The sequence below is a fragment of the Homo sapiens genome, chromosome 6 (genome assembly GCF_000001405.40).
Source record: "Homo sapiens chromosome 6, GRCh38.p14 Primary Assembly".
Taxonomy (NCBI): domain Eukaryota; kingdom Metazoa; phylum Chordata; class Mammalia; order Primates; family Hominidae; genus Homo; species Homo sapiens.
This window is the reverse complement of record NC_000006.12, coordinates 162,948,927-162,974,779: the sequence shown is the minus strand read 5'-3', so window position 1 is coordinate 162,974,779 and position 25,853 is coordinate 162,948,927. Positions and strand designations below refer to the sequence as shown.

General features: G+C 39.6%; 1 protein-coding gene and 1 pseudogene across 19 annotated transcripts in view, besides 1 other annotated feature; one reads left to right on the top strand and one right to left on the bottom strand.

Annotated features, from left to right (window-relative positions):
- The window catches only part of PACRG (parkin coregulated), a 588,369-nt gene that overhangs the window by 340,721 nt on the left and 221,795 nt on the right, over nucleotides 1-25,853 (bottom strand). The gene's annotated exons all lie outside the window — the stretch shown is intronic.
- Nucleotides 9,060-10,259: an enhancer, noted in NCBI's record as "CDK7 strongly-dependent group 2 enhancer chr6:163385553-163386752 (GRCh37/hg19 assembly coordinates)". NCBI's record gives its function as "activates an origin of replication core promoter dependent on BRD2, BRD4, P300/CBP, MED14 and CDK7 cofactors, with strong dependence on CDK7, by STARR-seq in HCT116 cells {active_cell/tissue: HCT116}" and the evidence as "EXISTENCE:reporter gene assay evidence [ECO:0000049][PMID:35650434]".
- On the top strand, nucleotides 17,168-17,550 carry RPL34P15 (ribosomal protein L34 pseudogene 15; annotated as a pseudogene).

Sequence of the window (25,853 nt, the reverse complement as noted above, 5' to 3'; positions counted from 1 at the left end):
CTGTAACGTGGAGATAATAATATCTCCCGGATAAGATTATTCATGATTAAATATAAAGCTCTTAACAATACACTAAGCATGATATGTGTTAGCAATTATTAATATCATCATCATTATTTAAGGAAACAATGCATGTCAATAGGAAACAGGAAAAAGGCAGAAAATTCTATGTAACAAATCATATTTTTATTTGGGGAACCTATTTAGTAAATATTTTCAGTGGTATATAATGGAGATACAACAGATCCCAGGAAAAGACTGGTTACAGGATGAGTCATTTTGAATGAAGTAGGTGAGACTACAATTCTTAAAGTACTATAAAGAAATATAAGCAAGTAATTTGTGATGACAGTAATGTTAACTTTCAAGTACAATATTTTGTATATTGGCTTTCTTAAAGTGGAATCTCATTGATACATTGCTGTATTTTGCCCAATTTACTTGGGCATTACATCTTGAATTTTCGTGAAAAGCATATTCCTTTTTGGAATTTTAAAAATGAAAATGGCTTGCTATTAATTATATTGTTGCACTACTTTTGTTTATTACAGAGGTGGCATATGGTGGCAGCCGCCCTCCATCTGCAATGAGAAAGGACAGCTGTGTTGAAACTGAAATACTTGAGCGAGCCCCGTCAATGCAGGCAACTTTCTCTTTTGCTTCAAGCTCTGGCAAGTCAGCAGGGCCCTTTTCTTCTATTTTATAATTATTACGTTACTTGCAATAAATTCTTCTCCAGAACTTTCCACTAACATTTCAAATGAAAAAGGGTACCTGAGAAAATTTAGAAAATAATCACAAAGGAGTGTTTAAACACTGTGGGTAAATTTATAGCTTTGGGGCTTGTTTCCTTGTCTTTATTTTTTCTGAAATCTATTCTCTCCTGACAGTAAGAAGCTTGTAGGGTTCATTTAACCCCTTCTGTCTAAATAATAGGACCCCCATAGTTATTTTTATTATTCTGCAAAAGATCTATCTCTGTAATAGCGTGCGCACGCATACACACACACACACATACACACACACTACTCTTAAGGTTTTATGCAAAGCAGGACAATTTATTTCTAGCACTTTTTTAGTTCTTCTTTATTGAAACAATGACTTAGTACAACATAAATATGCTGAATAAGCTCAAAAAAGGTTGAAAATTGTGGAATATCTAATTTGGGGAGAAAAAACTGGTAGAAGGGAATCTCAAAAAAGAAGACTTAGAACTTTAAAGACAAAATGACATTTAAGTAAAAGAATTGCCTTGCTTGCTACAGAGCAAGAGTGGGAGTCACCAACCTGACATTCAGTGCTAAAGGTTAGGGGTGAGTGGGAGTCCCTGAGAGAGGTCCTACCAGCAAGGGCTGCAGTCACAGCTGAAGGTGATCATGCATGAAATGGAGCCAGGCCTCGCATTAGATGGAAAGATCGCATTACACTTGCAACAGACTTTCACATCGTCTGGCTTTCAAGTCAGCAGTGTGAACTGGTTAGGGCAAACCGCCTTTTACTAATTTTACAGACAAGGGACTGAGGCCAGAGAGGGGCAGTGACTCCTCTGCTGCCTCATGACTGGTCAGTGCTGGGGCCAAGTTGAGGACTGATGTTGGACTTATGCTGTGTTTCAACTAAGTCCCACTCAAAATCCATAGCAATCACCAACATCAGCATCACTTTACCGTACTAGGAACAAAGCTTAGTTGTCCATGTTCTACATTTTTTTCTTTACTGATGTTACAGTTTTAAAAGTAAGTTTCTCCATGATAGAGAACTCTTGTAACCTATCTCTTATTCCTGAGATCATAGCTTCTTCAAAAGTATGACATGGTGGATAAAACATTTTTAAAACCTGCTTTATAACAGGGATTCCTAAATGCCATAATGAACATTTAAATCTAAAGAATCATTATAGAAGATATCATTTTTTTAGAATTCTCATCTATCAGAGCACATTGTTTACTCTTATAGGGTGTTAGACATACAAGACCAGTACACTGTGGAAGACGTAGAGCAGACAATTCTTCAGCCCTCCGTATGATCACAGTCTAAAATCCATTGAAAGGCAGCTTGAGATGTCCAGATTCACAGATGTGTTATGGGATCTTCTCGTCTTTCAATATGGGAGACTCATGCTTTCACTTCAATGAGTGCTGTGCATGTGGAACTGGGGGATGAGGGAACTTCTACTGATATATCCAATCTGCAGGTGCCGGGATGCACTGAGATTGTCTGTTCAGGTTATGATTTATAACAGAGATGAAGCTCGGTCAATGTGGTTGCAAGAATAGGTAATTCAACACTGTTCTTAATAGAGAGGGCACTGCTTATTTAGATCATAGTCGACTATGGGGGTTTTGACCACGATAAAAAAAAGCCAACTGAAAGAAGAAAAATTCCAGAAGAATCTGTGAAACAGACGCAATCAGATGACTGAAGTAGGCAATCTTTAGAGACTGCTACATGTGCGAGTCAGATGGCAGAGGAATAACTGGCCTTAAGAAGCTTCAATCCTTGACTGGTCCATAGGAGTCAGAGGATGTCTATTATTTTATAATGAATCACTGCAGGGTGGAAAACATCTCAAACATCACTCAAGCCGATCTCTTTGTCTTATAGATAAGGGAAGCCAGGTCTTGAAGATTTGAGACTCGCCAAAGTCTTAAAACCTGTGACAGGCAGAGGTAGGGCTGCATGCTGGGTTTCAGATCTCTGACCCAGTGTTCTGCCCTCTGCCATCTGACCATCCTCATGCGGAGGTCAGAGTGCTCATGACCACATGCGTCACAGAGTGAGACAGGCCTTAGAGCCTGAGATCCAGGTGTCTCCTGAGAAAACTGCGAGCGCCGTGGTGACAGAGTGGACGAAGAGACACAAGGAAGGAGGAGAACAGGCGGTGCCAAACAGACGCTGAGTCCTCTTTATAGGGGCCTCAAGGATGCAGGAACACTCAGGGAAAGGAAGAGCTGCCTCTGCAACCTAATGAAAGCTGCGGCCCGGCAGGGCTTGATCGCAGAGATCCTTGTGCTTCCCCCATCCCTAGGGGTATTTGTTAGGAAAGAATGGTTAGTTTGTGTTTTTCACAATATTAAAAACCTTATTCCATAAGATTTACTTTAGAGACAGGTTGCTTTCCTTTTGACTCACATTTTCTAGTAAAATATTTACCCCATGGAATTTGGGGAGCGATTCTGGAGGCGGATGCACACGTTCCGTGACTGTGTAATCCTAGAAGAGGCGATGATGAGGGCACTGGGATCTCTGACTCTGCAGTGGTTTTTGTTTTATGTTGTAGATAAATTCTTTGTGTTCAGACACTGACTGGTTTCCTCCCAAGGTGTTTAGGAAGCTCCGTAAGTGCTCACTTACAGATCTTCATAATGCCGCTGTGGTTGTAAGAGGCTGACACATTTGATCAGTGCTGGCTCTATATCTATAAAAACTGACTTCGTGGATTACACAGGTTGACAATATGGTCCATGATCCATATTTTGTAAATGGAAGAACTGGAGCCCAGATAGAGAAAATGACACAAGGCTCCACAAATCAATATCAGGGCCTCTCGGAACAGAGCTTAGCTCCTTTGACTCGTTGTCTGATTCTTTATTTTGCTACCTTCCCTCTCTAAAACGCTTGTCAAGTGCAACTTGCAGATAAAAAGCCTTCACCCAGAATGCTCTGTGACAGTGAAGAGAGGTCAGTCTTTACAATCTGAATTTGTATTATGGAAGCTGTCACTATAACGTGAAATTGCAAAACAGCTGTGGAGACTGGATCTAACCTATCCGTTTTAAGAACCAAGTGAAGATGACCACATCTCGTTTTTAGTATGGGGACGTTAAAAATGGAATGTATTTACACAACCCATGGCCACTGAAACAATTGTTGAGTTGCAGTACAAGCCTGCCCCTTGCTGATTACTTCAGTCAGGATACGTGGCTCAGGTGACAGGGGCAATGCCAGTATTAGATTTTGCTTTATGTTGTAATTTTTACCTGTTTGGGATCTGAATTGTGATGAGAAGTATTTCATTCCTTTGATTTACAGTGTTGAGAGCAAGGATTAATGGTAGGCAACTTTAATTTAGCTCTCTCAACAACTTTCAAGAGATAAAGGGCTGTGAAGATACAACGGGATGTTCTAGGATTGCTTCCAAAGTTGTTTTGAGCAGACAACTAATGAGAAGCATTTTCTTAATCTGATATCTATTTGGCACGATTATTCTTGGGTGAGGAAGGGTGAAAGTGGGTGGGGGAAGAGAGGCTGGGAAACTGTATAAACATTATTGTGCTTGTTCACTACATAGGAAAGCAGCTGGTTTCTTCATCGATAGCCGGGATTCTTGCCAAACGAGAAGAGGGGGACCAGGTGGTCCCCGGCACGTTCAATGCAGTCAGCTTCTGCAAGATGAGCTCTCCAGTAGAACCTAAGTATATTCCCACAGCAGCTCCGAAATCGATGCGCTCCCCAGACACCCTCCTCAGACTGTGCTCATTCTTTCCTTCAGGAAGAGACTCCTTAGCTCCACGTGGCATTTCAAGCCATTTCTGGGGATAGGTGGCATCTGCACAGCCTGGGGGATTTTAGAGCTGGAATTTTGGTGATTATCTGCTCTCATTTCTTTTGCTTCAGGTGAAGAAACCGAGGCCCATTTCACCAACAATGCAACTCACATGAGAAGGCACTATTTGCATGTCATGGCAGCAGACAGAGTGAAAAAGCCACTGTCAAACTTCACGTCCAACTGATTTTATAGAAATGTGCTAGGCATGAACCTCTACTGCACCCGGCCTATCAGCACTTTTCATTCGACCATTCATTCATTTACTCCAAGGTGCTGTGTGTAAGCCAGCTTCCTGTGCTCAGAGAGCTCACATGCAACAAACATGCAGATAAACAGTGGCAATTGGCGGCAAATGCATGAAAGGAGATACTTTCTGCTACATGAATAACACTCATCATAATAAATTACAACTGAGAGGATAAAGCAGGGAGGGAAATGGTCTCAGCCAACTTTACAAAAGGAGTCAAGTAGAACGTCTTGAAGATAGTGACATTTAAGCTGAGACCTAAGTCACGGGAAAGAGCAAACCACACCATGCCGAGGCCCTCCAGGAGGAAACAGTCAGGGTTTTAAGGAAAGGAAAGAATATCAAAATGGACAGAACTTGGGAGCAAGGGGCAGACAGGGGCCAGGAAGAGAGATTAGGGTTTTAAAATAAGTGCAATGGTAAGTCCTTGCAGTGGAGTGATACAATCTGAGTGACATTTGAAGGTCACTTTTGCTTCTTGTGGCTATGGAATAGTGGGGGGAGATGGGTGGCAAGAGAGACAGTGGAGCGACAAGGGGGTTGGTTGTAGTATTTCAGGCAAGAGATGATGGGGTAGCAATGGACAGAAGAGATGATGGGGTAGCAGTGGACAGGAGAGAGAGAGGGCAGGAATTTGATGTATGTTTGGAGATGATAACATCAAAGGTTCTCACCAATCCCTTGAAACGGGAGGATGAGGTGAAATGGAGGAAATAGAAGTAACTCTCGGTTTTCTGTCTTGAACCTGAGCAGTAATATACAGCAGTCAGCAGTAAGTACCATTATTCTGACATTCCTAAGATGAAAATCTATACCAAGTACTACATAAGTGAATACAATTAGTTACCGGACCTCTATTAGTGTCTAACTTAAAATTAGGGAAAAAGTAAGACATAGGTAAGACTCCAGTCTGTTACTTTTTTTTTTTTTTTTTTTTGTGATAGAGTCTCGCTCTGTTCCCCAGGCTGGAGGGCAGTGGTGCGATCTCGGCTCACTGCAACCTTCGCTTCCTGGGTTCAAGCGATTCTCCTGCCTCAGCCTCCTGAGTAGCTGGGATTACAGGCGCCCGCCACCACGCCCAGCTAATTTTTGTATTTTTAGTACAGACGGGGTTTCGCCATGTTGGCCAGGCTGATCTCGTACTCCTGACCTTGTGATCCACCCACCTCAGCCTCCCAAAGTGCTGGGATTACAGGCGTGACCCACCGCGCCCAGCCTATCAATTTACTGTGAAGATTTTGCTTTATGCATGACTTCAGACTCTCACTTTCTTTTCTTTGAATATTATATACCTATGTTCTATTATTTGATTGCAAGTCGGGTAATAATTTTTTTCCACCTACATGGTTCCTTCATTACTAGGCTTCTGTCACGCTGGAACATCAGTAATTTTGACACGTCCAAGAAAGCAGGAAGTTAACTCAGAAATGTGTATCATTCCTACTGCTTTAAGTTTGGTTTGACAGTAAAACATATGCCTTTCAAAAGGAAATGCTGTTTTGTTCTTGCTTTGAGATTCCTGAAAGGATTGCACGATCTAGCCACAAATGTCTCATTAACTCTCACAATATTTCAGTGAGAAAGACAGATACAGATTTTTTTGTTTGACAATATTCTTGCAGAAGGAGTTATATAACAATCCCATTATAATTTCAAAAAATAAATTTTAGGCTAATGTACACACGCATATCTTGAATTTTGAACAACCAATGCTATTTTCTGAAGGTAAAACCAGATGTTTACTTTCATAATAACCTGGAGTAGTGATAGAGACCCAATTTATTTGGTGTTCTAACACAGTGGAAGAGAGAAACTCTCTGAGGAGTATAGAAACAGACATACAACCCATCAGAGATTCATTCACCTACTTAATTAATTATGGCAGTCTGGAATACAGCTTGGCAGAGGAAAAGATAGGTAGTGTGTAACTCACTATGTAAGTAATCCACAGTTTGATGTTAGCTGAACAAAAATATTCTTTAGGAATATTTGTGAATAGCATCCAATTTTTAAGGTGAGGAAATATAGAATATTTTAAAATATAAACAATGATTTAGCTTTCAAAATTTGCATTTATATTTCATTCTGATTTTAATTTATGAACGTTTTGTTTGATAGACTCATTTTTGAAGAACATATTTGTGCTGTTAAGTAAAATCACATTTTATGATGTAAAATAATATCATTAAAAAAGAGAAAGTTCAATCCTAGCACGTTGGGAGGCCAAGATGGGCGGATCATGAGGTCAGGAGATTGAGACCATCCCGGCTAACATGGTGAAACCCCGTCTCTACAAAAAATACAAAAAAATTAGCCGGGCGTGGTGGCAGGCGCCTGTAGTCCCAGCTACTTGGGAGGCTGAGGCAGGAGAATGGCGTGAAACCGGGAGGCGGAGCTTGCAGTGAGCCGAGATCGCAACACTGCACTCCAGCCTGGGCCACTGAGTGAGACTCCATCTTCAAAAAAAAAAAAAAGAGAAAGTTCAATAATGTTCTACCAAAATCTATTGATCAAAATTCTAAATATAACTAAGATATGAAGACCACACAGTAGATGTGACATAGATTTCATATCTATTACACTAAACCTTATGAAATTAGGTAGACAATCTACAGAACAGTTTAACTTTTAATAACACACTTTCAGATTTCTATAGGAAATAAAAGTGTAAGAATTCAGAAATCTGACGTATCACAGACCAGACACATTTGATACCTGAAAGGTTTTTTTTTTCAGTTTTAGTAATAAAATCACTTCCAGATGTATTCTAGGAAAATATCTGCTTCTTCATTTCAAACCCCAAATAGAAAGCATCTGTTATTAAGGCAAGCATTAATTTCTATAATAATACACATCATGTGCTACTTTTGAGCATTATCAGTTTAAAACACTTAGTATGATAAAACGTGTAATAAGGGGGAAAAGGAAACCATAAATAATGTCAAGGTTAAGTGTAATTATTACAGAGGCTAGGTGTAAGTTGCCCTGAAGCTGTACGGTTTTATATTTATTTATCTAATCACTGTGTAATATCCATATAATTTTGATGTAATTACACAAATTTCTCTTCCTTATGAGCCAGAAAGAGACTATATTCCAATAAAGTACCATTTGTCATTTAGCTTACCAGTTTTCTTACTAATTAAAGCAATTCACAAAACCTTACAAGAGACCATCAAGTAACAAAATATATAAAAATACATGTCGGGGCCGGGTGCGGGGGCTCACGCCTGTAATCCCAGCACTTTGGGAGGGGGAGGTGGGTGGATCACGAGGTCAGGAGATCGAGACCATCCTGGCTAACACGGTGAAACCTCGTCTCTACTAAAAATACAAAAAATTAGCCGGGCATGGTGGAGGGCGCCTGTAGTCCCAGCTGCTCATGAGACTGAGGCAGGAGAATGGCATGAACCCGGGAGGCGGAGCTTGCAGTGAGCCGAGATCACACCACTGCACTCCAGCCTGGGCAACAGAGTGAGACTCCGCCTCAAAAAAAAAAAAAAAAATACATGTCATTCCCTCCATTAACATCTTTGTATCCAGCACTGTAGATTGATGGAGTGACTACTGTGTGTCAGCACTTAGGATACCATGTCAACAAAACAGAAATAACAGACCCCTGGGGATGATGACATCACGCAAATGGTCATGAATAACCTACTTCTAATTGAAAGAGAAGCAAAATCCAATGAACGGAAGGCACCAAGTGCCATGGGGCATACAAGGTGGCGCTGAACCTACTCTGGGTCACATGAGGCTTCTCTGATAAAGATGTCTTAGGAAATAAGATTAGTTACTTGTTTCTAGATCTTTATTTTCTTGCACCATATCCCTAATAAATTCCTTCTCAACAGTGTCCAGGCAAGCATTTATTCGTTCAACAAATACTAAACACCTGCTTAGCCAGGCCCTGTCTTTTCCTGTAGAGAAACAAATCTCCAAACCTACATCAACTCATCCTTCAACTTGCTTCACTCCTGAAACCATCCACATTGGTGTATCGGAGCTGCACGATATTCCTCTCAGTTGACTTGGATGCATTTCGTCTCCCATCCCAAACCTTCTGCACAATCTCAAGCCCTCTAGTCCAGCTTTAGCCTCCTTATTCTCATCAGCTGCTTTTGCTTCCTACTTCAAAATACAATGAGAAGAAGAGGTCAGTGGGTGAAAACTCACTTTGATTTTTTCTACCAAATTTACATCTTTATCTGAATCCAGGCCTGTCATTGGCTGTGAGTTTCCATGAATTCCATCTTCTAAAGCATCACTATAATCCATTCCTTACTCTTCTTCCCCTCACCAATTTCTTAGCCAAGGCCCAGTGGTCTGAATGATTGTGTTCCTTCAAACTTCACATGTTTAAATCTTAACCCCTATGTGATGGTGTTAGGAAGCAGTGCCTTTGGGAGGTCATTAGGTCATGAGGATTAAGCCCTTCATGAATGGGATTAGTCCCCTTACAAAAGAGGCCCAAAACAGATCCCTCACCATTTCTACTATGTGAAGACAGATAGAAGGCACCATCTTGAACCAGAAAGCAGTCTTTGCTAGACACTGAATCTGACAGTGCCTTAACGTTGGACTTCCCAGATCCTGAGCTATGAGAAATAAATTTCTATTGCTTATAAATATCTAGTTTACAGTATTTTTTATAGCAACCAAATGGACTAAGACAACAGGCAGGCCTTACCTCTGACCCGAGACTTTAATGACTTATTTTCTGGTGTCTCTGCCATCAGTCTTCTACTATCTATCCTTCAAGACTCTGGCCAAGAGGTACTTGTAAATGCAATTATGTTCATATTATACTCCTGCTTTAACAATCCTTCTTGGCTCCCCACAGGGATAAAGTATAATCACTGATGCAACCCTTCGTCCATGTGTCTACTCGCACCCTACCCAACTCCAGCTGTGAGTCCTTAAGGCACTTCCATCTTCACAGCCACAGCCCCACTGGGCATGCTTCCAGATAACAGCTCAGCGAGTTCCAATGTCCTACATCACACTCTCTAGAGGAGACAGCAGCAGATACATAACTACAGTACAAAGTGATGTCGTTACATTCAGATGTTCAAAGCTCTTGGAGAATTTCCCAGAGGAAGCCTCCTTGAAAAGATGCCACCCTCCCTAAATACCAGTTCCTGTTGTTTATCTTTCTAAACCCATAATTCTGATCCTGGGGGTCAGTGACTTAGTGAGTCACTTCCTAATCTTAGCTCAGGATTTTCCTTCAAAAACTGCCTTCTCTTTGCTCATTCCTTATGCTGGCGGCCAGGTTACTTTCCTGCATAAGGCATTGATCATGGCTTCCTTCTTCCAAGAGCTCACTTGGAGCCTCCTAACGCATTCATGTCCAGGTTAAAGTTCTCTTCTAGATTGCTGTGTGCAGTTAACTTGTCTGGAGATTCTCAGATGTCCAGAACATCTGTTGATCATTCCAAGCCCTTCCTTCCAGCCTTCATAGGCCATATCCTACTTCTGGAATGCTGCCCCTCAGGACTTCGAATCTTCTCTTTCTTACTAAAGCAGTTCCTAAAATCACATCTTTAGTGAAAATGCCAATAATGAAGATAAAAGAAGGCCTTTATGATTTCATTAACTTACTATTTTTGTAATTGTTACTTTCCATAAAAATAGTTCAAAAAGTCATCAGAGTTTACTCTGTGATGAAAATTTTACTGAGCATTATCTCATTTTACCTTCAGAGAAGCTCACTTGTTTTATAGACAAGAAGAGTAAGTTTTAATGATATTAAGTAATTTGCCCTAAGTTATCTAGTTTGTAAATGGCAGAGCTGAAATGTGAAATCAGGGCTGACTCTACATTCAGGATTTCAGCCACTGTAATCCATTATCTGCTTCTGCTTTCACGGTGTTGTATTCCAGCATTACTAGTACCCTACTCAACTTCTGTTATGGTTATTTGTTTATTCATTTTCAAACCAATTCATTAAATAAGTATTTACTGATTTCCAGCTCCTCCTGGCAAGACATCTCACTAGTCTTTATGGGCTGACAAAGATGTATTAGGCAAGAGTCTTCTGCCCAAGGGAATAACAATCTAGGTTAAAATAGTGCTAGAAAGGTGATTGTTTCTGTAGCTTCAACCCATGATCTAACTGATATATTGCAATTGCAATGAAATAGAATAGCAAAATAAAAATGGTGAAAATATGCAGGCCTGGATAGAGTTCTGTTGATACTGAACAACCTCCTGATACTGGTGAATTGGGAGGTCAGTAACAATTATTTTATACATATAAAATAATTTTATATGTATAAAATTATAAATTTATAAAAGTATATGTAAAATGTATATATAAAATGTGCAATAAATTTATAATTATAAATTTATACTTTTTATGTTTAAATACATTTTATATTTAAATAAATGTATAATTACAAATTTACACATTGTATTACACAATAATGTGTAAATAAATACACATTATTTGTATTTATAGATATTTATATAGACACAAATAGACATACTATATATTAAAATGTTAATTCTGGGTACTTCTGTTTTATTCTATGTCATTATATACACATGATTTTGAACTGAAAATTTCATATAATAAATTTGTGACCCATGAGAGTTTTATCAGCACCTTATAAATACATCACATAACAAGAGATTAGAAATCCCAAACTTTGATATTTGCCTACTTGAAATGTGAACAGCTTTTAATGTCTAATATAATCACATCTTGGAAAAATCTTTTGTTATGTAGAGTTAGTCATTAATAACTACATTCCTTAAACAAAGGAAATCTTTTATACTTTAAATTACTCTACCTGCCTTCACCTGCCCAAACAAGCATCTTTGGTAGTTTTTATAAGCAATTAATTATGGAAAACCTTGCCTTCCTTTTCATAACTAAGTTTTTAGTTATTCTGATTTTTATCCTATACTTTCCTAGACATCTTCATCTTATTATAGCAAAACAAGTATCATTAGAACTAATATAGATCTATAAATGTAGAATGTGGTCCCTCAAAGTGACCCTAGAGGTCTTCTAATCAAAGTCCCCTAATTATGAGATGAAGAACACAAGATCCAAGTCAATTTGCTTTCATAACAACCTGAACAGAGGCACGTTCATCGTCAGGAATACAGTTCAGAGAAGCTGCTATCTACCTTGTTCTTCAGTCACTATCCATTGTCTTCCAACCTCCCAGCACACATTTGTAGCATGTGACCTGTCTTAGCTCAGGCTGCTGGAACAAAATTCCATAGACTAGTGGCTTAAACAACAGGCATTTATTTCTTACAGTTCTGGAGGCTGCAAAGTCCAAGATCAAGATGCTGGCAGATGTGGTTCCTGATGAGGGCTCTCTTCCTGGCTTGATGACAGCTGCCTTCTCCCTGTGTCCTCACCTGGTGGTAAGAGAGCTCAGGTCTCTCTTCTTCTTCCCATAAGAACACAAATCCCATCATGGGGGCCCCACTTTCATGACCTCAGCTAAACCTAATTACCCCAAAACACACCACTTCCAAATGCTATCACATTGGGGTTTGGGGCTTCAAGGTGTGAATCTGGGGGCATTTAATTCAGCCCATAACATGGCCCAATCACATCAACTACACCTTCAGAGGAAACAGTGGAGTCAACAACTTTCTCAGAAAAACAAATGCACTCATTCACTTCAGAAACATGTATTACATGCTAATAACTGTTAGTCACTGGAGTACAAGCATGAGTAAGACATAGTCTCTGCCTCCAGTGGGGCTTAGAGCCTGGTAAAGGGCATTAGGCATAGAGATGGACAAAAATCCCTAACCTGGTACAGAGGCAGAGAGAAGAGTTTCCCAAGGTAAGGTGGAGGCCCATAAGTGTCAGAGGTTAAATGAGGTAGGGCCAGAAAAGGGTTCAGAGAAGAGGGGGCACTTGACCTGAGCCTAGACAGAAGAGCAGGCTGGTTTTCATCACACACACTAGAGAAAAAAGGAAATTCAAGGAGGAACAAAAGTTTAGCAGTGATGCAAATGATGGTTGATTAAGGAACCACAAGAAATATATAATTGGAGCACTAACCGTTTACTAAGGAGAAAGAGTGTGAGCAAAGACAGAGAGGTAGGTAGGGGCCAGCTCACAGACAGCCTCAGGTGCTCCAAGAAGGAAGAATCACTAAAGCATTTTACATATGGGAATACATGCCTCTGCTCACAGCTTAGATGCATCATCCTGGCTTGGGGTATGGATCTGATTAGAAGGACACTAGACTAAAGGCAGGACTCTAGGGAAGCGGGTAGAAATGAAGATGGTGGAGGAGAAGGTGGACACTAGGACTGACTCATCGATTCCAGTCCTAAGTGACTGGGCAGAAGGTGGTGCCACCATTCAAAATGAGGAAATGAGAAGATCAGATGTGGAGTGGAGTGTGGTAGACTCAGAGGTGGTGAAGAAAAAGGAGAGGATGAAGACTTTGGTACTAGATTAGTTGCGTTTGTAATCCAGGTGCCTGGTCAACCACTGGATTACAAAAGTCATGATGCAGGAGGAGATGGATCTGCAGCTCTGATAGAAATACAAGGTTGGAGTTATAGATAGACACATGATAGTAGAAACTCCAGACTGTGTTTAATAACAAGGTCAACTTCACCTGCTGTCATGCTGTGACACCCTTGGAGTGAGGCTGGATACTTTGCAGTTGCAAGTGAGACAATCAGGATTTGGGGGAATCTTATTCTTCCTCTAGACAGCTTCCTTAACAATCTTAACAGTCAGCATTTTCATGGAAACCCCTGAAACTGTGAAAGTAACAGGGATGACACAATATGTCAGTAAGGTTATGAGCAGCTTTCACATGGGCTACTGATGCAAACCTTGCAGTGACTTCCTTCTTGCCTCGTTTGAGTACATCTATGTGCTGTGTCATGAATAGGTTCACAGGGCTATGAGTGACAGCAAAAATTCAAACAGCAAGGTAAGTATGCAATCCTCATCTGGCCAAAAAGTTATTCTACCTCTCATGGCCACAATATTTGATTCTGGCATGGGCACATGACCTAAACCAGGTTAACGCATTACAGTCTTAACTTTGGCTCTTAACTATTGGGAAAGAGAAAATGTTTTCCTGATGGTGCTGTTAAACTAGCTGAGAATGAAGCCAACACCAAAGAAAATACATCTGAATAATGAAAAACAGGCTGAATGTTCTGACATTGTTTGTGTCTCTGGATCTAGCTGGGTCTGAAGCAATATCCTTTTAAATTATGTTAGCCAATGCCCTCTCTTTTATTTTAATTCTACTTTTATTTTAGATATAGGGGGTACATGTGCAGATTTGCTACGTGAATATATTGCATCCAGGTAGTGAACATAGTACCCAATAGGTAGTTTTTTAACCCGCACGCTTCTCCCTTCCTCCCTCCTCTAGTAGTCTGCAGTATCAGTTGTCCCCATGTTTACGTCCATATGTGCTCAATGTTTAGCTCTCACTTATAAAAGAGAATGTGCAGTATTTGGTTTTCTGTTCCTGCGTTAATTTGCTTAGGATAATGGCCTCCAGCTGCATCCATGTTGCTGCAAAGGAAATAGTTTCATTCTTTTTAAGGCTGTGTAGTATTCCGTGGTGTATATGTACCACATTTTCTTTATCCAATCCATTGTTGATGGGCACCTAGGTTGATGTGTGTCTTTGGTATTGTCAATAGTGCAGCAATAAACAGATGAGTACATGTGTCTTTTTGTTATAATAATCTATTTTCCTTTCGGTATATACCCAGTAATGGGATTGTTGGGTCAAATGGTAGCTCTGTTTTAAGTTCTTTGAGAAATCTCCAAACTGCTTTCCACAGTGAATGAACTAATTTACATTCCCACCAACAGTGTTATAAGCTTTCTTTTTTCTCCACAGCTTCACCAGCATCCGTTGTTTTTTGAGTTTTTAATAACAGACATTCTGACAGGTGTGAGATGGTACCTCATTGTGGTTTGATTTGCATTTCTCTGATGATTAGTGATGATGAGCATTTTTCATATGTTTGTTGGCTGCTTGTATGTCTTCTTTTGAGAAGTTTCTGTTTATGTCCTTTGCCCGCTTTTTAATGGGGTTATTTGTTTTATGCTCATTCAATTGTTTAAGTTCCTTATAGATTCTGGGTATTAGACCTTTGTTATGACTGAGTGCATATATACAGAATTCTTTTTTCTGTCATACTGCTGGCACATTCATATGTCCAGGATCCAACCACATTCCACCATCTGTACCATCTGCACCTTGGTCCAAGCCAGAACCATCTCTCTCCTGGATGAATGCACTTATGTCCCAAATGGCCTCCTTTTTCCTACACTTGCTCCTCTCCAATTTCTTCTCAACTCAGGAGCCCAAGGGATCCTTCAAAAATGTAAGTCAGATCATGTTATTCCAATGCTGAAACCCTAGACTGCCTCGCCTTATCACTCAGAGTAAAAGCCAAAGTCCTTACCATGGTCTGTATAGCCTAAAGCTTCTGGCCCCATAACCATGCTGGCCATTGCCCCAGCAGTGACTCCATGCTGGGGACACTGACCTCCTTGTTCTTTGCAGAAAATACCAGACCCACCCCTCCATGCACGGCAGGTCTCCTCCACAGAGTGCGTGTGGTGGACCTTCATCTCTTTCAGGTCTTCACTTAAATGTCGCCTTCTCAGCAAGCTCACCCTGACCCCTCTAGTTATACAAGTTCCCATCCCCGGCCCTACTCCTTATCCCCCTTCCCAGATCCATCTTTTAACAATTATTGTCTTCCAATACACCCGCTATAATATCCATGTGTTGGCCAGGCACGGTGGCTAACACCTGTAATCCCAGAGCTTTGGTAGGCTAAGGCAGGAGGATTGCTTGAGGATAGGAATTCAAGACTAGCCTTGTCAACATAATGAGAACCCCATCTCCACTACAAAAAAAAAAAAAAGTTAGCCAGGCATGGTGTCGTGCACCTGTAGTCTCAGCTACTCCGGAGGCTGAGGCAGGATTGCTTGAGTCAGGAGTTCTAGGATTCAGGGAGCCATGATCACACCACTACATTCCAGCCTGGGTGATGGAGTGAGATTTCATCTCTCTCTCTCTCTCTCTCTCTCTCTCTCTCTCTCTCTCTCTCTCTCTCTCTCTATATATATATATATATATATATATATATATATATGCTCTATATATGCTCTATATATACACTCTATATATGCTCTATATGCTATATATATGTGTGTGTATATGTATATTTATGTGTATGTGTATATATATACACACACACACACACACACGCATATGTGTACCCATTTTTATTGTCTGCCTCCACATACCTGAATCTAAGCTCCATAAACAAAGGATCCTAAGTGTTTTGATTGCTGCTTTATCCTTAGTGTCAAGTCAATGTCCAACATATTATAAATACTTGATAAATATTTGTCAAGTGAATAAATTAATGTTAAAAGCAAAGCATACTTTTACACATGGATAAATGGAACAGATGCTACAACTAAAATGACCACCATAGGTCAGGTAATTAAGAGGAGCTACCAAATATGATTGATTTAGAAGTCTAAAGACATAAAAATATGTCTGGTATGCTTGGGAATCTCAGTTTCAAGAATTGTATATGAGCCATTGTGTGCAACAGTCTGTCATACAAACGAGATAGGCTGTAAAAAATCCTTATCTGAGCTATTTTAAAAATGGGTTTTTAAATGAATATTTAAATATTAATATAGAATATGAATATTTGAAATTCATTATTTTTCATAAAATAGAGTTAATCTTAAGGCTGGCATAGTTTTCCAAACCTTTTGCCAGCTAGATTTGCAAAGCACTACCTCCAAAGCTCCAAACGTTTCATAAGCCACACTGGTCTAATTAATGGCTCTTTGTTTTTAGTAATTTATTTTCTTTTGCTTAAAGTTCTGAAGGATGGCTAGGTGATGCATGTAGTCAAACATCTTATTATTCTCAGGATTTCAATGGCTTTCCCTTCTCACTAAAGCATAAGCATGTTTTATATCATTAGTGAAAAAATGTTAATACCTTTAAACATGAAATTCAAGTATCATCGATAGAAATTCCAACTAAATTTCATCTAGCCTTGCTTTGCACCCAAAGTAACATACCTGGCCTGTCTCTCCAGCAAATGGCTGAGAGTCTAAGTCCAGCTTATTTCTATTTGTGTCTCTAGGTACTGGGGTTGGGGCTAGATATATGTCCTTTATGGAGTTTTAAAATTCAAGTTAGATTTCCTAACTCAGATTAAATTCGAGTTCTGGGCTTCTTAATTTTAAAAGGAAAACCATTCCAAATGATCCTTTTTTATATGCATGTGAGACAAAAAAAAAAGTAAACAGTGAAATAAAAATAAAACAAACAAAATGTTCCTTTGCCCTAGGAAACGCACAGCCTCTTCCATGGACGTCGTTGTCTACATGCACTCAGAATGGTCTTAGACATACTGCCTTAGGCTTCCTACAATACAGCTCTAGCAAAACTAGGCTGTCCCGAGCCCCTTGTAATAGAATTGACTACCTTTATCCCAAGAAGGTGTGGAAAACACCAAAACTCTGCATGTGGTGTGTGCCCAGGCAGACTTTGAGGGGTCCGTGCTGTGAGACCTAAAGTTCTTATGAGATTGTCCAAAACAAAAAAACATGTCAGCAGGGCCTGTGGTGGTTCCATGAGTGCTAAATGTGTTCAGGACAGGATCAAGCGTGCTTTCTTTATCGAGGAGCAGAAAATCATTGTGAAAGTGTTGACAGCATAAGCACTTCAAAAGTGTTGAAGCTGTGAAAGTGTTGAAGGCATAAGCTGGGCCCCACACATCCATTCTCCAGGTGAGGACCCTGAGACCAGGGAGGCTAAGCCCAAATTCATTTTCTAGTGAGTCTCAGACATGAGGCTGGAGCTCAAGTCTGTCTCACTCTACTGCCTACCTCTAAATCACTAGTTCTTATGTTTGCTTGGTTTTTTTTTTTTAAACGCTTTACTGACAAAAAGGTAAGTATTTGTGTTTCTAAAAAGATCAGGTGAGATTTACCCACTACCTACATTAAAAATGCAGTAAACGTCATGAATGATACAAAGAAATATACTCCAACTTGAACACCCCAGAAAACTGATAATAGGTTACACTGTGTCCCTCCCCTCCAGAAAAAGCCAAGTTGAACTCTTAACCCCCAGGGCCTCGTGATGTGAGCTTGTTTGCAGATGTAGTCAAGTTGACTGGAGGTCTTTAGACAGGTCCTAACCTAGTATGACTGATGTCCTTCCAAACAGAGGAGGTTGGAAACAGAGACACATCCAGGGGAGGGCTGTGTGAGGAGACACAGGGAGAAGGCCATGCGGCTGCAGGAGCAATGCTGCCCCAAGCCAAGGACTGACTGAGACCACCAGAAGCTGGAAGAGGCGAGGAGGGATTCTGCCCCGCAGAGTTCAGAGGGAGCACGGCCCTGCCAACACTCTCATCTGAGACTTCTGGCCTCCAGAGCTTTGAGACAGCCAATTTCTGCTGTTTTGAGCCTCCCTTTCTTGTGGTACTGTGTCACAGCAGCCCTGGGAAACAAATAACATAACATTGACCTGACCAACATTTATTAATATCCAGGTAAAGCGGGGCAAAGCTGCTGATCGTGGTGAAGCTGATTAAGGGTAATTTGACAACTTAAACTACTTAAAAGGAAACTGTCACCGTAGACTAACAGCAAAACCTGCTGACAAAAGAAAATAATCTCCACCTTTTGGGGCTCTTGATGCATCAGGATGCAAGTCTGTGGCTGGTCTCTGGGGTTTCTGACTTTCTCTAAAACCGAATGCTCTTGTTCTCTTTGATCCTCAGTTTTGCACCAGTAAATATTCCCGACTATTTAACTGGCACCGCCTTGCACTTGATCTTCCACCTTAACACGAGTCATGGTTGCTTTGGAGAGTAGACTCAGTGCAAGCAACAGGGTATGTGCTTGCCCTGGGGAGCAAAGAGAAAACAGCAGGAGAAAAGCCTCCAGGCTCCTGTGCTTCCCACCATGTCCAGAGGCTCCTCTCCCACCACCACCATGTCGCCAGGCTGCTCCCACCTGCCAATGGAGCCCAGCTGTCCCCCCAGGCATGTGTACACGTACAAGGCTGTTGCCAGCCCCGGAGAAAGAAGTCCAAAAAGGAAATGGAAGCAGTACGGAAAGGACCTGGGGTGTGATTCAGGCTGGGCCCCACACATCCATTTCCAGTGCCAGACCTGGGCCCTTGGACACCAAGACTGTAACACCCCAGCTGCTGCTGACTAGGATCAGAAGGGCCTTCAGCCTCCTTTCTGCCAAACAAAGAGAATATCAAAACGTTGAGGCAGGATCAGTATCATCAATAAATCATACGCTATTTCTATGTCTCCCCTGAAAACACAAATGGAACATTAAAACAGATTTTGGGCTGGGCGTGGTGGCTCACACCTGTAATCCCAGCACTTTGGGAGGCCAAGGTGGGTGGATAACGAGGTCAGGAGTTCAAGACCAGCCTGGCCAACATGGGCAAACCCGGTATCTACTAAAAATACAAAAAATTAGCCGGGTGTGGTGGCAGGTGCCTGTAATCCCAGCTACTCGGGAGGCTGAGGCAGGAGAATTGCTTGAACCCGGGAGGCAGAGCTTGCAGTGAGCCAAGACCACACCACTGCACTCCAGCTTGGGCAACAGAGAGAGACTCCGTCTCAAAAAAACAAAAACAAAAACAAACAACAACAACAACAACAAAAATAGATTTCAAAACCATTAGGGGAATTTGAAATGCTTCCCCTCTCTCCTGCTTATGAACCCTACCCACCTCACCTGGTCAGCCCGCTCTCCCCTTTTGCTTTTTCTTCTTCCTTTTCTTTCTCTCTTCATCTCACTTGCCTGCAGGTTCCCTTCTTGTAAGTGTGAGCAACTACAGACAATGTCAAAATAATTTAATTTCAAACCCAGGTACGTTAACATGAAACAGGGAGTAATGGTTATGTCTACATAATATCTGATATACGTCTAGTTACCCAGCAGTAGCAGATGCTGTTGGTCTGCAACTGGTTTGTCACGATGGATTAATTACCATCCTAAGCTCATTTTGCTAGTATTCTCAGCTACTAATATCAGGCTAATACTTAATTTATAAAAAGGTAAAACCAGCTGACAGGAATAATCAACACTGATCTCTAAAAAGTACTATATGAACCAATGTACAGAGTGAAGAGACAAAAAAATACACTTGCTATAACACTGCATTTATTTGCTTACTCTTTTTGTTTCCCTATACTCACCAAAAGCTACTTGACATGAGGTTTTCATTCATCAGTACAGTTTCTTCAACCAGCACATGTCTAGTACACAGTAAGCCTCAAAACTTATTCGGTTAATGAATGAATGCTAATAAGGTGGAGAAAAAAATCACTCCAAATTAATTAGTGGGAAGTGTAATTGCAGCTCTGGACACCAGAAATACTGATACAATGATAATAATATTTTAGGCTAAAGGGTTGTGCAGTAAAAAAATAATGTTTAAATATTTAGAGCAACCAATTCTAAATTGAGAACCTTTAGGCCATTAAAAAAAAAAAAGCAACTCAGGAAATTTTGTAACTGTTTTTCTAGTCTGTAAGTCTAAGTGAGGGAAGCTAAAGACAAACTTATATACATTACCCATGTTTTTCATGTTGAACATGAAGGTCAGGGATTTCAAAACACCTGCTTCATTATTTTCACAGCTAAATAACCAAAGCATCATTCTGTTTTCTAATGCAACTAAAAATTAATTGGAAATACATTAAACTAGACAATTGCTTTGAGCTGCTTAGTAGCAACACATACAAACTGAAACATTTCATCAGTCTCTGAAGTGGTAGATGATACTCTAACATACAATAAGAATGCACACTTTGTAAAGATGATATTACTTTTAAATAAGCCTATCCACAGGCAAAACAATTATTTTACATTGTTTTATTTACTACTCAATTAGCAAATAAAAACTATGTGGAAAATATTGAGGTTATAGGTATTTCATTATATATTAGAATTTTGTAAAAATAAAAAATTGGTATTCTACATTAATATTCCATCTTGATAGTTAATAGATTTTTAAAAGGCAGTATTGATAAGTTCATATAGTATTTTTCATTTCTGCTTTTTTGCAAAACCAAACCACAGCCTAAATGTACACTCTGAAGTCTACAGAGTTAGAGAAAAAGTGAATTTACATTTAAGAACAGAATATGCCACTGTTCTTTCTTGTGTTATCATGGATGCTTAACATTTGCTAGTGGAACAATAAGAGAGAGAAATGGGGGTGGGAGAAAGTGTGGGGGGGTTAGGGAGAGAGAGCGGGAGGACAGCAAGCTCTGTCAGTCAAGTACTATGGCAGTTCTAGACAGTTCCAAGGAAAAATCTCTGCTATCTCATATGTTAGCTTGATAGTCAGTCAGAGAATAATCTCAAGGTCATGTGAACCCTAACATTTTTGGAAGCAATTAATCTTACATTTTCTACTTTTACTAGATAAAATGTATTGCTTTGTTCATGTTGCCTTTCAGAAAAAAAGGTTGATTTTATTTAATAATCATTAGTTTACAGTATTATCTTCTAAGTTTTCTTCCAGAGACTGATCTACATACATTAAAAGAAGTTTTCTATGTCATTTAAATAACTGAATTAATAAGCTTGAACATTGCAAGTAGCTGTCGTTCAGTTAAAGCTTAATAAAAATTTTAAAATATTAAATAATACAGATTGCTAAAGCTATACCTTTTATATATTTCTGTTTGAACTCCTCCTTAACTACCGTGACTACAGAGCCTAAAAGTCAATGAATATGATTGATTAAATATAGGTTATAAGGAGAGTAAAATTTTAATGCAGTTATGACACTTGTGGTTCTTTAAATTAAAGCAACACACTCCCCTGAATTCCCAGGTTTCACCACACAAAATATTTAAAAAATAGCTAAATAATAGGTAGATAAATGCAATGAATTTTTGTACGCCAAAGAATGTACACAGACTACAGCCATGGAGATTTTTTTATATATTTGAAATACAGATATTTCTTATCACTGCTAGAGACAAATTATTTAGCAAGAAAAATTCACATATTTATCAGTAGATATAAAACCATATCACATGCAAAAACGTCGAAGCTAGAGGTAGCCCAAGAGAAGAAAATAAATCATTTGGTGCCATTTGAGCTGCAAAACCTGATTCAATTATGAGCCCAGGAGCAGAGCTGGAAGCCATTCTCTACCTCTTCCCAGACTAAGGATGATGCATGCTACTTCCCATGGCCCTTTCGTGTAACTGAGCCCTCACTAAACAGGGCTATCTCCTTTAAAGATGTGATACAATTTAGTGTGGTTGTTAGTTCAATTCTGGGACTCTCCTGAGCCAAGACTATCAATCACGCCAAACTGTGGAATTATTCATACAGTTCAGTATTCTGGACTGCTGCTCACAAGAGACTGAAGAGATACGATCAAGCTCATTTAATTTAGACTTGAGGCTGGACGTGAACCTCACTCCCTGTGGAACAGTACTATTTATCTATTGAACCACCCAATTCCTTAGGTTTTGTTGAAGTGGTTTCTGATGGAAGATTCTTTTAGGCTATTTTACATTAAAGAGGAAAGGGTTATAATATGAAAATTTAGTAATCTATATACAACAAGGGGTTCCTAAGTTTTAATACCTAGCTGCTGAAAGGCAAAAAAACTAGATGTAAATAGGTTCAGACTATTTCATGACCTACAATAGTGTGCTGTGTAATGTTTTTAAAGTTCCATTTTTCCTTTAGCACTGTCTTATAAGAAGAGACTGGGTTAGCAACTAAATAAATAATTTCTTACAATAAACGGAGGGAAGAGCTAATTTACTAGAAGATGAGTCTCTCTCTTTCATGACGGAGAGGTAGAGATAAAGGATCATTACCCCTGTCATTTCAGTTTCAGCTACGTAGGAACTATTGACATTTTTGTTTAAGGACAAATCTCATTTCTGTGCTTGAGAAATGCACAGAGCATTTCTCTCCTAAGATTCAGCAGCAGAAACCTGGAAAGCAGAAGGGAATTCTTGGAGGCACAAGCAAAGCTGATGGGTTAAGACCAGGAAAGCTATGTTGGCTGCTAGAGGAAGCTCCCAGCTCTCTTGCTAGTGCTCCCCTCCCCAGTAAGACTACAACGAGAGCAAAAAACTGAACAGACTGGCCCTTTTAAAAAACCATCAGCTGAAAGAAATACTGAATTGCCATCCCTGGAATGTTTGCACCCTGTAACTGATGAAATCTTTAAAATAAAAAGAAATTAAAACATAAACCGTTAAAGTATGCCCCCAGCTGAAAGACAAAACAGACTCTGCATGGCCAACTGAGGTGCTCAAAGTAAATACAGAAACAGGCAGCAATAGCTGTGAGAGGGAGTGGTCAGGTACTCTGTTCTCAGAAAGATGTTGTGGACGTATCACAGGACCTCCCTTTCTACAATGAAGCCAAACCAGTTCCTATGTTTGGTGATAAAACAGACTGTGGCTGAGAATCCCTCCCCGCCAACTGCTGTTTGAAAGAAATATCTGACAGAGAATTCTGGTTTGGGGCTTGGAGGCCAATCAATCAGAGCCTTCCTGCCTGTGTCAATCTGGGCTCAGCTGTATCAACCAATCAGGGCTCAGCTATATTGATCAGTCATAGCTCAGCTGTGCTGACCAATAAGAACTAAGCGAGTTTCAATCTTTCATTTGCATAAATAGACTTGATAGAAAACCTGGGAGGGAACTTTTGCTATAAAGCCCAAACCCTTTCTTTATTCTGTAGAACATCATTGCATTACAACAAAAGCTGTGTCTCCCCAGTTTGCAAACTGTTCACTGGAACAAAGTTGCTTTCCTCCTACTTCCTTTTCAGGGAACTTTCATTCATGAAACAAATAATACCCAACTTACAGGGAAAATACACACCCACAAACCATCTGTGTTACATACAAGATTCAATTTCACCTGAAGAGGGTAAAATCCTTCATCTCATATTCAGAGACAAATTAAACACTCCGTCTGTTTTAAATTTTTTATATTAATTAAAAGCTGTACTGCAGTCCCCAATCTTTGTTCACTTGTTTCACTAAGTGCTAGAACAAGCTTATTTTCATCAACTGGTTTATCTTGTCCACTCTGTCTAGGCTTTTCTTTTTAACTATTAGCCCTTTCTACACTGAAAGAGCTTTTTCAATGTTTATATTGAATTTTTCCCATATACATTTTACAAGTTTAAAATATCAGTTTGTATTGAATTCAGGAACAATTAGATATTTGTAGTATTTTTTCCTTTAATTCATTTACCAAGAAAAATAGACTTGAAAGGATTAATATGCTTTAAATACTGAAACAAATTTTGAATCATGAACGTATATCCAAAACCATATTTTAATTTGGAGATGAGAAGGCATGAAATTCACTGTACAAAATATGATCTGTTCAACTACTTTTATTATTAATTAATTTATTTATTTATTTATTGAGATGGAGTCTTGCTCTGTAGCCCAGGCTGGAGTGCAGTGGCATGATCTTGGCTCACTGCAAGCTCCGCCTCCCGGGTTCATGCCATTCTCCTGCCTCAGCCTCCCAAGTAGCTGGGAATACAGGCGCTCGCCACCACGCCCGGCTAATTTTTTTTTTCTTTTTTGTATTTTTAGTAGAGACGGGGTTTCACCGTGTTAGTCAGGATGGTCTCGATCTCCTGACCTCACGATCCACCCGTCTCGGCCTCCCAAAGTGCTGGGATTATAGGCGTGAGCCACCGTGCCCAGCCTGTTCGACTACTTTTAATAATTACTGCATCATATCAGTAAAAGTTAATACATAAAAATCAAAATGTTCAAAGAAAAAATGGAAACAAAAACTTAGAAAAAGATAATTTTTTTCACAAGGATTCATAATGTGATTTCTTAATTTTTTAAAAAACACTAAAAATTATTTAAAAACAGGTGTAAAATATGTACCATTGCAAAATCAAAACTTCTTTCAGGATCAAAGTTGCTCAGAGTTTTTATGTTTCATCTAATGCAATTTCCCTTAGAGACATTTGCCAGTCTTTCAGTTCCACATCCTAGGAGAGAGGCCCAGAAACCATGCAGACAGCATCTGTTAAAAGGCTAAAAATCTAAGCAGAAATTAAGACATTTTAGTACCTGGTAAACACCTGCCAGTTCAGCCCTCTTCAGAGCTGGGCCCTAGGAGTAAGAGAAATTGGAAATACAACAAACCCTCACAAAACTTAAATCACAGCCTCCAAGAATCTGACTTAGTTTCTGCCCTCACTCTATTTTTCACTCAAAAGTATGTATCACTGGGGAAATAAAATGTCATTAAATTTTTTCATACACAGTTTATTTATTTTCTTTTTAAAACTTGACACATAATATGTGTACCTATTTATCAGGCACTTGTGATCAAGCTAGGGTATTTATAGTATCTAGCACCTCAGAGATACATCATTTCTATGAGTTGAGAGTATTTCAACTGCTCCCTTCTAGCTCCTTTGAGATATACAATACACCGTTATTAACTATAGTCACCCTACTCTGCTATTGAACATTACACTGTATTCTTCCTGTGTAATTGTACAGACCCATTAAACAACCCCTTCATTCCTGCCCAACTACCTGCACATCCTTCCCAGTCTCTGGTATCTATAATTCTACTCTTTACCTCCATAAAACCAACATTTTTTAAGCTCCCACATATGAGGGAGAACATGCACTATTAATTTTTCTGTGACTGGCTTATTTCACTTAACATAATGACCTCCTAGTCCTCCATGTTGCTGCAAATGACATGATTTCAATTTTTTTAAGGCTGAATAGTATTCCACTGTATTCCATGTATATGTACTACATTTTTAAAATGCATTCATATACTGAGGAATAATTAGGCTGATTCATAGCTGTTGTGAGTAGTGCTGCAATAAAGATGGGGTGCAGATATCTTTTTGATATACTGATTTCCTTTTTTTTGGATAAACACCGAGTAGTAAAATTGCCATATCATATGGCAGTTCTGTTTTTAAAATTTTGAGTCATTTCCATACTGTTTTCCATA